The sequence below is a fragment of the Homo sapiens genome, chromosome 22, assembly GCF_000001405.40.
Source record: "Homo sapiens chromosome 22, GRCh38.p14 Primary Assembly".
NCBI classification, from domain to species: domain Eukaryota; kingdom Metazoa; phylum Chordata; class Mammalia; order Primates; family Hominidae; genus Homo; species Homo sapiens.
Genome location: NC_000022.11, coordinates 26990069 through 27003943, shown reverse-complemented (window position 1 = coordinate 27003943; position 13875 = coordinate 26990069). Strand labels below are relative to the sequence as shown.

At 45.3% G+C, this 13875-nt stretch overlaps 1 long non-coding RNA gene across 1 annotated transcript, besides 1 other annotated feature; it reads right to left on the bottom strand.

Annotated features, from left to right (window-relative positions):
- Window positions 1-1197: 1197 nt before the first annotated feature.
- Window positions 1198-5808, bottom strand: LOC107985582 (uncharacterized). The gene is made up of 2 exons (XR_001755472.2): window positions 5758-5808; window positions 1198-1788 (listed from the first exon to the last, which is right to left on the bottom strand). It is a non-coding gene; the product is annotated as an uncharacterized LOC107985582 (long non-coding RNA).
- Window positions 12886-13045: an enhancer, noted in NCBI's record as "active region_18801". NCBI's record gives its function as "activates an Ori minimal core promoter by ATAC-STARR-seq in GM12878 lymphoblastoid cells {active_cell/tissue: GM12878}" and the evidence as "EXISTENCE:reporter gene assay evidence [ECO:0000049][PMID:35858748]".

Below are 13875 nucleotides of genomic sequence, written 5' to 3'. Positions count from 1 at the left end.
ATATCTCTGGTGGGAGGTTTCGAGGACCATTAATGTTGTGTGTCTGCATGGCTAGTTTACATGCTACTTCTTGTTATTGCTGTCTCTACTCCATGGCCCTCACACTCAATTTCCATTCAAAGTTTGGCAGTCAAGGTGTCAGGGCTAAAAAATGGAATGGCCTCCCTCCGAAATGAAATAATTTTGTTGTTCAGTTCCGAGCGATTTTGTAATTTCATGCTTGTGTATGATAATTTTATGCTGTCCTGCCTCACGTAACTCAGTTCTGGCAGATCCTGACAGGTGATAAATACAATCTTTTCCGCCCCGCATGCGACAGGCCAGTGAGACAGGGGAGAAAAAAATGGCAATTTCACATCTGAGGCCAGTGCACAACTGGAGTCAGCAGCAGCCCCATTCTTTCATAATTTCATGCCTGGATTCCAGTCGGCACCACCTCTGTTGTGGCTGAAGGACCCACGGGTCAAGGAAGCCTTCCTGAAAATAGAATGGTGTTGGCAAAGGCCATGGAATTGGAGGGTAGGGAGGGGAAGAGGAGAAAGTTATGACTCTGGGCCCGCCCTGAGCTGGCGCACCGTGGGCTGGCGATGTTCAATTTATGGTGCTGCTTCTCACCCACACGCTGTCCTCTGAGTGCTCCTATTAAATGGTAGCCTTTTGGAGGCATGATTTTTACAAATCTGTTAAATCTTTGAAGGATAGCCATTTCCAATAAAAAGAGGGAGGGGGAAGAAAAGAGGGAGGAGAGAGGCAAGGAGGGGAAGATAGAGAAAGAGACAGGGCAAGAGTGAGATAGAAAGAGAAGGAGAGAGAGGCCAGGAGATGAGTCCTTAACATTTATCAGCAAGCACTGCATTTTTAAAACTGCTCCCTAGTATTGTTCCTGAAAAATAAAACTGTTCCTCTTTCTGAGAATGAATGGGTCAAAGATTATTAGAGAAATGTCAATGATACAGAGGTATGTAATGGTGGCTGCTGAAATGGAAGTAGGGGCAAGGGCATTAGGATTGACAACGAGGGAGATCAGTGTCCTCTTTACTGTCATGGCCAACTTAAAGGGCACTCCATTCCCTCCCACCCCACCCCCACTCCCTGCCTTTTCCAGGGAGGCTATTTTCTTGCTAAAGGGAGGGCAAGGAACTGTTTTGGTTTAAGCTAGAAGGAGCTCAAGAGAAGACTCATCAGTATTAACAACAATTAATAATAACTACAATTTATTGAGCACCAACTATGTGCCAGGCAATATCCCCAATAGTCTGCAGGCTGGATTTTTCTTAATTTTTCAATGCCTCTCAAGAATAAAGTCTACAAGATGCCCACTTTATAGACGAAGAAAGGGAGGTTGAAAAGTCTAACCAAGTTGGCTGAGGTCACAGCATTCGTTTCCTAGGGCCACCATAGCAAAGTATTAGGTTGGCACAAAAGCAACTGTGGTTTTAATGGCAAAAACCAGAGCTGCTTTTGCACCGACCTAATACTACAAACTAGGAGGCTTAAAACAGCAGAAATTTACACTGTCACGGTTCTGAAGGCTAGAAGTTGGAAATCAAGGAGTTAGCAGAGTTGGTTCCTTCTGGAGACTCTGAGAGAGAATCTGTACCACGTCTCTCTCCTAGCTTCTGGGGGCAGCAGCAGTCCTTGGCTTGTAGGCTGGTGACCCCAGTCTCTGCTCCATCTTCACATAACATTCTCCTCTGGGTCACTGTCTTCCCTTCTTCCTTTCTCTTCTAAGTGTAGGGGCAAAGAGAAAACTTCCTCTTCGCCCTCTGAATCTTCCCTGAAAGTTAACTGACAAAAGGCAGATGAAGAGAAGAAAAGGCACACAAAATTTACTTTAATGCACAAAACACAGGGGAATCACAAGACAATGATTCCCCAATAACCTAATGAGGTAGGGAAGCTTATGTACCCTGTTCCATAGGGGCAGAGGGAGTTAGGGAATGTCTATAATACTTTCGAGGGTCAGCTAGTGATTATTAGGGGTAAGGAAGGGACAGAAATTAACTTGTAAATTTGAATGAGCCCTAGAGACAGACATTATCTTGTGAAAAAGTCCCTCCAGGTATGATTGCACTCCTTGGTCTTCTTTTCTAAGATAGATAATGAGATTTCAGAAAGGGGAGGAAGGCAATTGTGTTTCTTTTGGAAAGAAGCTTTTTCAGACAGATAAGGAAATTCCAGAGAGAGTCCCTTCCTGGGCTTGGGGTAGGAGAGAAAAAAAAAGGTGGGAGGGAGTTCGATTCTGAGTTTGATTCTCTGCGTGTCAAAGCGCCAGTCTTCGGGGTGTGGCCTTCTGAGCCCCAACATAAATTTAGGTTTAGGGCTCATTTTAATCCAGGATAATATCATCGGGAGATTCTTACCTTAATTACATCTGCAAATGCTCTATTCCAAATAACGCCCCATTCTGAGGTTCCAGAGACACATATATTTTAGGGGTGCCATTCCACCTCTTACAGTCACACAGCTCTGAAGTGGCAGAGCAGCCGTGCTTACTTAATCACTAGGCCAGGGGTGTCCAATCTTTTGGCTTCCCTGAACCGCATTGGAAGAAGAATAATTATCTTGGGCCACACTAAAAATACACTAACGATAGCTGATGAGCAAAAAAAAAAAAAAAAAAAAAAAAAATACAAAAAAATCTATAAAAATTATTTAAGAAGGTTTACAAATTTGTACTGGGCCACATTCAAAGCCGACCTGGACCACATGTGGCCTGTAAGCCATGGGTTGGACAAGCTTGCAATAGACTCAACTGCCTTCCATCATGAGCTTTTCATATTGCAGGGCACAGTGAGTTGTTGGTTTCACCACTGGGAGGGGACAGGTTGGGGAGGGGACAGGTTGGAGAGGAGACAGATTTAAAAGAAGCGTGCTTGACTTCCGAATTCCTTTTCCACTTTGAGGCGGCATACCACATTTCTTCCTTTTATGGACATCTAGGTTGGACTTCGAGTTTTTTAAAGTCACTTTATTAGTATGATTTCCATGAACTTTAGAGTGGGGAGAGGTCTTCAAGGTCTTATAGATAGATGCGAGGACCATGTCCATGGACTCAAATGTTGGGTCATCTTGAGGATCAAGACAACACAAGGACACTGACACTGGATGGGTATTGAGATTGTTTTATGGCTCCTCATGAAGCTCCACCCACTAACCCCCCAAATACCCTAATGACACCATTATTCCATTTGACACAGGAGAAAAACCAAAGTCCCTTGCTCATGGGCACATAGGTGGTAAGAAAGCAGAAAATAGATTTGACCTAAGTTAGTTCAACTCCAAAGGCTGGGCTCTTTTTTCCCCTGCTAGACTGAAGTCATTTTCTTGAACTCAGAGCTTCCTCAGCAAATAGGGGTCACAGGATCACTATGCTCTCAGAAAATCCGCCCGCACCTCCCCTTCATACCATGGGTCATTGAAACCTGTGAAAACATTTCCACATCCACAATTTCACCTAGGCCTTGGATCATTAGCCCCCTTCATAATGATGCAAATGATTAGGGCAGCATTGTTCTTATGTTCATGATAAAAAATGAAAGCTTGAAAACTGGAGTTGGGGAGACAGCAGTGGGCAGACCAGATGTGATTCCTGCCTTCATGGAGCTTGTAGTCCAGTACATAAAACACAAGGTAAAAAAGTAAACAAAATATAGGCCAGGTGCGGTGGCTCACACCTGTAATCCCAGTATTTTGGGAGGCCGAGGCAGGCAGATCATGAGGTCAGGAGTTTGAGATCAGTCTGGCCATCATAGTGAAACATGGTCTCTACTAAAAATACAAAAATTAGCCAGGAGTGGCGGTGGCGGGTGCCTGTAGTCCCAACTACTTGGGAAGCTGAGGCAGGAGAATTGCTTGAACCTGGGGGGCGGAGGTTGCAGTGAGCCAAGATCGGGCCACTGCACTCCAGCCTGGGTGACAGAGCGAGACTCCGTCTCAAAAAAAAAAAAAAAAAAAAGCAAAATATAGTTGTAAATAGTTCTAACTATTATGAAAGATTCATGGACTGGTTGCTACTATAGGGAACGTACTTGAAGGGGTGTGATGGTGAAGCTGAGATTTGAAAGATGGTCACAGTTTAGGAGGGGAGGGCATCCCCTCCCAGAATAAGTAGCATTTGAGAAGGTCCTGGGGTAGGAACAGTCTTGATATATTCAAGGAAATAAAAGAATACTCAGGTACTTGGGGCACAGGAAGCAAGGGGAAGTGGAATCAGAATGATGTTAGGAGTTCGGTGATAAGAAGTACTGGTCTTTGGGTCAGGGGCAGGATGTGGGACTCCATCCACAGGAAGCCATTGAAGCATTTTAACAGGTGGAAGACAGGATCCTAGTTATGTTGTTTCAGAGGAGTGTTCCACTGTGCTGGTAGAGAAAAGGCAGGGGCAGGAGGCAGGAGTAGAATAAGCACAGAGATCCGGTGGGAGACTCACTGCCTCCCAGGAGTGAAATGATAGTGGCTTGGGCTGGAGTGGAGCAACGCAGATAGTGAGTTGGGCTCAGACCCTAGAGATATCCAGAGGTGAATCTGGAGACAGAACTGACAGGACCTGCTGACTGATTCATTAGATGTTCCAAAGAGGGGGAGTAATTCACATGAAAGCCCTCTTTTTCTACTCCTGGGTTTCTTAGCTCACACCTGTAATCCCAGCACTTTGGGAGGCTGAGGGGGGCAAATCACGAGGTCAGGAGATCGAGACCATCCTGGCTAACAGGGTAAAACCCCGTCTCTACTAAAAATACAAAAAATTAGCCAGGCATGGTGGCGGGCGCCTGTGGTCCCAGCTACTCAGGAGGCTGAGCCAGAAGAATGGCATGAACCTGGGAGGCGGAACTTGCAGTGAGCCGAGATCACACCACTGCACTCCAGCCTGGGCGACAGAACGAGACTCTGTCAAAAAAGGAAGGGAGGGAGGGAGGCAGGGAGGGAGGGAGGAAGGAAGGAAGGAAGGAAACATTAGGAGTTTTTTTTCCCAGCTACTAGAATTTCCATAAGAAACTCTCTGCTCCAAGACAACATGCTGATGTCTCAAGAAAGTTTTGTAAGTGATTCACAGCAAACACGCAACTCCAGCACTAGCCTAAAAGCAAGAGAGGTGGGTTCCTGGTGCCTCACTTCCCAGTGCCAGGTGGACCCTCAAAGCAGGCCAGAGAGGTGGCCTCATATCACCCAGGGCCTCCAGCAGGAAGTACCATCTTGGAAATGTGCCTTCAGATGTCTGGGCACGTTTCCTACAAACTAGCCTTATTCTCTCTTTTGAGGACAGTCTCAAATAAATTGCTCCTTGTCAGCTCGTTTTTGGGACTGTCAGCCTCTGCAGGATTAAAGTCTTCTGCAGAAAGCCCCCAATTTCATTGTGTGATCAGAAGTGGGCTTGCTCTTCCTCCAGGGCTCTGGGCATTGGTAGGTGTGTCAGCCATGAGGTCCCATGCCATCATGGGGTCACTCAGAGTCAGGTAATCTTGAATGTCTGGCTTGGAGAAGTAACTAAAGATATGGGGAAACCAAACCCCAGGGTGATCCAAAAATTTGAGCAAAGTTATGCAACAATTGTAGCTCCTTCATGGAAAGGACGTGGTGACATCTGCCTTGGGAAACATCAGGAAGAGAGGTTTCCTAGACAGCCTACTGGTGTATAAACAATAATAACATCTGGTCTTCGTTATCAGTGCATCCCTAGATCATAGTACAGGGGCTGCAGAGAGTAGGTTCTGTCAGTATTTTGGGAGGAAATCTTAACATTTACTGAGGACTTACTCATGGGTGTCAGGTCTTCATTCCACTTTCGTTCCTTAGTTTGTTTGTTTGTTTGTTTGTTTGTTTGTTTGTTTGTTTGTTTGAGACGGAGTCTCACTCTGTCACCCAGGCTGGAGTGCAGTGGCTTGATCTTGGCTCACTGCAACCTCCGCCTCCCAGGTTCAAGCGATTCTCCTGCCTCAGCCTCCCGAGTAGCCAGAACGACAGGCATGTGCCACCAAGCCTGGCTAATTTTTGTATTTTCAGTACAGACGGGGTTTCACCATGTTGGCCAGGCTGGTCTCAAACTCCTGACCTCATGATCCACCCACCTCAGCCTCCCAAAGTGCTGGGATTACAGGCGTGAGTTCATTCCACTTTTTAGTTAATTGTACCTGAGAAGAAAGAGAGGAGTTAGTAGAGCTGGGATGTGAACCCATCCGCTTGGCCCCAGAGTCAGTGTTCACATCACCACCACCTCACCTGGAAGCAGAGCTCACTCACCAACCTACAATACATTCGATAGTTATCTCACCCAATATGAAGGTAAAGTAACCATATTCTATGTTCCAGCCCAATGATCACCATGATGAGTAGCAGGGCCACATGGCCATCCAGCACTGCAGTCAAGGCATGAGGCTTCACTCTGCCATGGGACTTTTTTCTGGGGCCTCAGTTTCTCTATCCAGAAATATGAGAGAGAGAAAACAGTTGTCTTGCCACATAAATGTGCTTTGCATACAAAAGGACCATAGAGAAGAAAAATGTTTCACCAACTGGAAAGTGCTACGTACATGGGTAGAATCTGATTATTTTAAAGGCTCTTTTGCATCTCAAAGTCCTTATCTATCCTGTTTCCTGTATGTGTGCCCTACCTGCACACATACAGGTACCCCTTCACCTGGAAAACTCTGACCCCTTCCCGAAACTTTCAGACTGACTCAAAATCTCTATTGGGGACTTTTATTGCACTGTTCGTCTCCTCCAAACTGACATCATTTTTCTAATAATTTGATCATTATCTGAATTCCCAAGACACAATGAGCTTGGCAAGGCCAAGATCACATCAGCTTCAGTCTACTCCATATACTCATCTTGTCATTAATTAATTGTGTGTTGAGCAGATACTCACCTAGAGTGGAAGATACAGTAATCACAGAACAAAATTCCTGACTTCATGGAGCTAGCATGTGGGGTGACAAAAAATAAGCAGTAAAATACAGTGTCCTGGCAGTGCATGATAAATGCTACGGAGAAAAATAAAGCAGAATAACATAAATCTTTATTGACTGGCAAATGATCACAATAATTTGCTTGCTCATTCAACAGCCCTACTGGTCTGCAAGATCCTTCAAGGCAGAGGCTGTGTTTGGCTTGTTCATTTCTGTAACCCTGGTGACTAGCACAGTGCCTAGTACCTAGGAGTTATTCAATAAATATTTGATGATTTAATGAATAAATGAAAAATGAAGAAACCAATCAATCAAATAGATGAATAAATAGAAAGATGGGTGGATGGATGGTCAGAGGGATAGATGGGTGAATGGAGGAATATATGGATGGATGAATGGATGGATGGATGGATGGATGGATGGATGGATGGATGGGCAGGTATATTGGTGAATGGGTTGATGGGTGATTGTGTAGATGGATGGGTGAGTAGATGAGTGAATAAAAGGAAGGACGAATGTGCAGGTAGATGGGCAAATGGATGGATGAATGGATGGATGGATGGATGGACTGAGGGATGGGTAATGGACAGATGAGTGAAGGAGTGAGTTGGTGGTTAGATGAGCATCTACACACATTGAGAGGGATGGATGAAAAGTAGGAACATAAACGTGATGCTGAGTCATCATAATCTTAGAACCTAAAAACTGACATTGGAGTAAACAAAAGGTAAATGTTTCCCACAGATAAAAACCATAGCAAGGTGGTCCAGGGCAAATTCATAAACACACAATGATAAAATTGACATCAAGTCACACATGGTGGCTTCATAGAAGTTTAAGTACACTGCTGTGTTCTCATGGTCTCAAAGCCTGTAACTCACAGGTGACTCCATGCGCGCCAGTCATTAAGGAGCCCTTTTTCCTTGGAGCCACTTTCCTGACATCAACCTGAGGAACGTGGTGTGGTGAGAGAGGCCAGGTTTGGAGTCAGAAATTCAAGTTGGCTCCAAGCTCTGCCACTTGCCAGAGTGGGTGCTTTACTTCTCTGAGCTTGGCTCCCTTGTGGCCAAACTAATCACAACCTATCAATGTGATTTTGGGATTAAGCACAATGCAAAAGTGTCAAGTGCTCATCCTAGGCTGGGCATACAGTAAGTGCCCAATTAGCCCCCTGGATCTTCTACTGCTACATCACAGTGGATTTAACCTGTTCCCCATTGTTCCCATTTGGGTCACTTCCAATTTTCTCTATGTTAAACAACACAACAGAAATGCTTGTAGTTAATGCTTTGCATATGCCCATGATTAATCCTCTAAGGTAAAAGCTTCCAGAAGTAAAAGCTGCTGAATCAAAGGAAATGAATGTTTTTAGAGCTTTTGATACATCAAGCCAAAAAGTAGAAGGACCCCTTGTAAATATCATCCCACAAGCATTAGTGAATGTTGGAGCTGCCAGATTTTGGGATTGCCCTGTTAAAGTCCAGGACACAGCCTAGGGAGTTTCAGATCAACTCTTTAAGTTCTTTTATTGTGCAGATGGGAAAACTGAGGTCCAGAAACAGGTGGAACATAACAGCAGTGATGAAAGCCAGCATTTATTTGGACTGGGAATGCGTTGCTAAGCTCCTTCTGTGCATTGGACTATCGCCAGCTCCCAACACTTCTCCAGAGTAAGAGTCATCATCCCTCTACACAGGTGAGGAAATGAGGCCCCCGGAGAAGTTAAGCAGCTAGCCCTCCTAAGCAGTGAGGCTGAAGTTTGAACCCAGGCAGCCTAGGCTCTAAACACTTGTTCTGCAGAATCACTGACTCCAACATCAAGAGCTGAGTGGACATCAGATTTGAAGGGCAGAGTGTGGGGGAAGTCCAGCAGGAAAGGGGAGAACTTGTTTCAGTATGAGTTCCCCGAATCCCTTCACCCTCCAGGCTCCCAGTAAACCAACATCTCCAGCCAAGTGCCATAGGTAAATTCATGCCTGTCTGGTCCATGAAGTGGGTGGCACTGCCAGCTTCCAGATCCCCAATGCCCCCATGAGTGGATTCCCAGAGCCACTCGCATAGATCTTAGCTCCAGTGTTTCCGCACGTGCTGGTTCTACTCTGCCCTGGTGTGGCATGCTAGAAGAAGGTCAAAGAGGGACTTCAGATTGCCCTTGTCTGCCCATTTTAGAGTTGTGGCTGTCTTCCTACCACTTAGAGGCCACCAGAGGCATTATGAAACCTGTGGCAGATGCTTAAGCAGCTTTGTGACACCCAAAGGAGGAACCACATAAGGACTTCTAATCCTAGCTCTGCCATCCCTTGCTGTGTGACTTTAGAAAACTGACTTAACCTGTCTGGGCAGCCCTTCCCCATCTCCAGCATCAAAAGAAACACCCTTAATATTCCCACTGGCTTTACACTGCTTCCAAAAAAGGCCTTAGAGCTATGATCATCCCAATGACAAATTTCCCACCAAATCCAGCCTTTGCCAGAACTAAGACCTTTGCCACTACTGCAGGCTATAGTGTCCCCTTCCCCACCGCCACACATCCGGAAATTAACTTCATAACTTTCCATTTTGCCATCATTCCATGAGTAACCATAAATCACCATTGGTTTGGGTTGCGTATTTTTACACATCGTCCTTTTAATGTCTCTCAGAAAATATAAATAAAGCATACATAACCATTAGAACACTCCGAATCCTGAAAAGTACATAAGAATTTATTTGTCTCCATGTGGATCATACATATTGTATTAAAACCACATAAAGGGGTTTAATAAAATGGCAAGAAGAGAGGCAGGAGCGCGGCATCTCGGGCGAGAGAGGTGGAAGCGATCTTTCTTTGATGCCTGTTAAATGTTCCAACAGATGAACCCTATATTCTGCCAGGAAATGAGTTTACCACTGGCCTATTGGGTCTGTCGTAAGAGGTTGGACTCACCACGGTCATCCCTCTTTCTGGCTCAGCAATACGTTACACCGCCTCAATTTTTCATTCCTTGCTGCCCGAAATGCAAATTTCTTCTCTGTTGTTTATATTAGGTTTTCAAATATATGGAAATCCAGAGATCTGCAGGGAAATGCCAGGGCCACGGAGGCACTCAATCTGTCTTTTTCCTCTGACTGACTTCTTTCCATCACTTACAGGAAGTGTGATGGCAGTTGAGCAGAGAGTACAGGGCAACAGGACAGAAAAGTGCCGCCACTCTGGTTTTAAGGGCAGCTTTTTTTTTTTTTTTTTTTTTTTTGAGACAGAGTCTCTCTCTGTCGCCAAGACTGGGTGCAGTGGTGCAGTTTTGGCTCACTGCAACTCTGCCTTCTGGACTTAAGTGATCCTCTCACCTCAGCCTCCCGAGTAGCTGGGATTATAGGTGTGCACCATCATGCTCAGCTGATTTTTGCATTTTTTGTAGAAGCAGGGTCTTGCCATGTTGCCCAGGCTGGTGTCAAACTCCTGGGCTCAAGCTATTCACCTGCCTCCACCTTCCAGAATGCTGGGATTATAAGCATGAGCCACCATGCCCAGGCCAACAGCAGCTTTTGAATTGGTGGATTTGCTTTGAGCCTTGAAGGGCTAAGTGGACTCATTTTAGTTGCCGTTGCTGAGTGCCCACCATGGGGCCAGAAACTAACTACTCTGTAGCAGAGATCAGGTCCCCAACCTCTGCCTAGGCAGAGATGATGGGGAAGATTCCTGCATGAGGCAACAGGAACATATTCAGCACTCACTGGATACCAGGGACTGTGACACACAGTAGCTAAAGCCTGAAGGTTCCTTGAGTTCTTCTTGCATGCAGACACAGTGAGAAGCATTTTGCACAAACATCTTATCTCATCACCCCCACAATTCTATGGTGTAAATTTATCACTTCAATTTGGCAAATGAGGAACGGTGGTTTTACGTAATATGTGTCAACACCACACAGCCAAGGAAGGCAAAGGCGAGTTTCGAACTCTGGTCTTATAAGTGCCAGTGCTCATATTGTTCTACACCAAGGATCAGCAAAATCTCACTGTAGAGAGCCAGATGAGAAATATTTTAGGCTTCAAGGGCCACAAGGTCTCTGTTGCAACTACTCACCTTTGCCATCATATTGCAAAAGCAGCCCTACATTAATGAACAGTCATATACTAACAAGTGAGTGTGACTGTGTTCCAATAAAACTCTATGCACAAAAACAGGCAGTGGGCCAGATTTGGCTCATGGGCTGTAGTTTGCTGATCCCCATTCTCCCAAGGCTGCCCCTGGTGTGACAGGGAGCACTTGATATTCCACAGTGATTCACCAAGATTATTTTACAGATGCTGACCTTCTAGAGACTAACTGGGTTCCCCGGGAAATGTCATCATTGTCAGCATGTTAGGCATAATCTTGTTTCAACTTCACAGCAACCCAACAAAGTGGGAATTTTAATCACACGCATTTTACAAGGGAAGCAGCAGGCTCAGTGAGTGCTCATGTTCAAGTTCACACAGTGAGGCAGTAGTAGACCTGGGTTTCGAAACCACTGGGCTACAGTCCTTTGCCTGGTCAGGGTGGTTTGGAGACAGTGTGACTGTAATCAGAGGCTGCTTCTGGTGGGAGGTAGAACTGCTCAGGGAGTCAGAAGCACAATCCAGGCAGGGAGTGGAACAGGATGGGCCTCAGCTGTAAGTCCTTATGACCGAGTGGGTATGGCAGCCCCCTCACCACTGACCCTTCTCATAATGACCATGGCCAGAACGCAGTAAGATGGCCCCAACCCACAGCAAGAGAGGCTGGAAATGCGGCCTTCCTATAGGTCTAGATGCAATGGAAAATTAGTGTGCTGAACAATTAGACAGTCTTTGCTTTATCTACAATGCTAGCCATTATGGAGTAACAGAGAAAGGAACAGGGCATGACTCCAGCCCTCAAAGAACCACAAATTCTGGGTGGTGAGCCACCGGCACAGCACTGGAGTGGCCAAACTGGATATGGTGCAAGCCTCAAGCCCATTCTTTAAAAAAGCAAAGACATAGGTCAGAATCACCCTTTCCCTGAATGCCTGTTTGTGCCTCTGGCTGGTCACTGAGGCCAGTTCACAGAGATACTGCACCCCTAGTCAATCACCAGCATCCCAACTTCAAAAGAAGATGAACTATGGAGGTAAATGAATTAGCATTCATTAAGGGTTTCATATGAGCTAGAAACTAGAATCTTAAACCCTCCTCAAGTCCTCATGTTGGCCCCCATGGGCATGCATAATTTTCTTTATTTCATCAATGAAGAAACTGGAGCCCAGAGAGGTGAAGCCATTTTTGCAAAGTCACACAGTGAAGAAGTTAAAGGTTGAGCCGTGACTAGGCTAGCAGGGGACCTTTTGGACTCTTAAAAGATGGGCTCTTTTCTCTGCATCACATGGAAAGGCGATTTACAAATGGCCAACAAGCACATGAAAACAATGCTCAACATCCTCTATACATTAGGTAAATGCAAATCAATACCACAATGAGATACCACCACATACCCATTAGAATGGCCACTATTAAAAAAAAAAAAAGAAAGAAAGGAAATAACAAGTGTTGGCGAGGATGCGGAGAAACCGGAAATCTGCACTGTTGGTGGGAATGTAAAAGGGTGCAGCTGCTGCAGAAAGCAGTCTGGCAGATTTTCAAAAAGTTAAACAAAAATTATCTTGTCATCCAGAAATTCTGCATCTGGTTATATACCCTACAGAATGGAAAGCAGTATCTCAAAGAGATATTTGAACTCCGATGTTCATAGCAATATATTCACAATAGCCAAAACATGGAAATAAACCCTGTCCATCAACAGATGAATGAATGAGCAAAATGTGATATATCCATGCAACTCATATATGTGGAATATTGTTTAGCAATAAAAGGAAGAAAATTCTGATATACAGTCACAACATAGATGAACCTTGAAGACATTAAGTGAAATAAGCCAGTCACAAAAAGATAAATACCAAATGATTCCACTTATATGAGGTACCTAGGGGAGTCAAATTCACAGAGTAGAATGGTGGTTGTCAGAAACTGGAAGGTAGGGAGGAGCGAATGGGGTTATCTTTTTATAGGTACAGAGTTTCAGTTTTGCAAGATGTAGAGAGTACTCGAGATGGATGGTGGTGATGGCTGCATAACAATGTACTTAATGTCACTGAAATGTACACTTAAAAATGGCTAAAATTGTAGATTTTATGTGATGTGTATTTTACCAAAATTAAAAAGAGAGAGAGGGTGAGATGTGTACTCTCTCTTCTCTCTCTCTCTCTTTCTCTCTTTCTCTCCTGAGGGCTCAGAAGGGGTGGAGAGCGGTTGGGGGAAGAGAGCAGAGCATTGGCCTGGAACCGTGGTTTGAATCTCGGTGCTCAGTGCTGATACTGCTCAGCCCTGAGCCCTCGGCTGGCAGCTTCTGCTCTCCAAGCAGCAGTTGGTGCCTCCATTCATAGAAACATTAAAATTGTATTTTTCTTCTCTCCATGCTGGATTTGAAAAATGCCCTATCAACTCTAAAGCACTGTTTTCTGCAATCTTGTCGTTTTGCATTCACCTCTTGGTCATAGGAGGTCCACGCTTCTGTGACCTTGTGGCTGGAGCCAAATGTCTTCCCTGCTGAAGGCCCCACCACCACCCACCAGAGCCTTGTTACCTGAATTCTATTTCCATCTTTTATACCTTTGGCAAGTGCAATGTCTCCTCTGGAGGGTGTGAAAGGGCCTCTGGTGTTCCTTTCTGTGCCAGAACATTGCTCAGCACAGGTGGGGGATACCTAAGGCCCCGAAGATTCTGCTTCTCTGGAGATGGAAATGATGGCAGCATCTCCCTCAAATAGAGCCCTCTTCCCTTGGGAGGGAAATAAGGGGGCTGTATCTTTGAGGATTCAGATGCTGGAGCCAGGGAAGCAGACGAGCTGACCCCAGACTGGAGTCTGCAACATAGAGCTCCTCTTCACCCCCAAAACATCACCAGAGCCAAAAGGCAGGAGCAGAGAGGG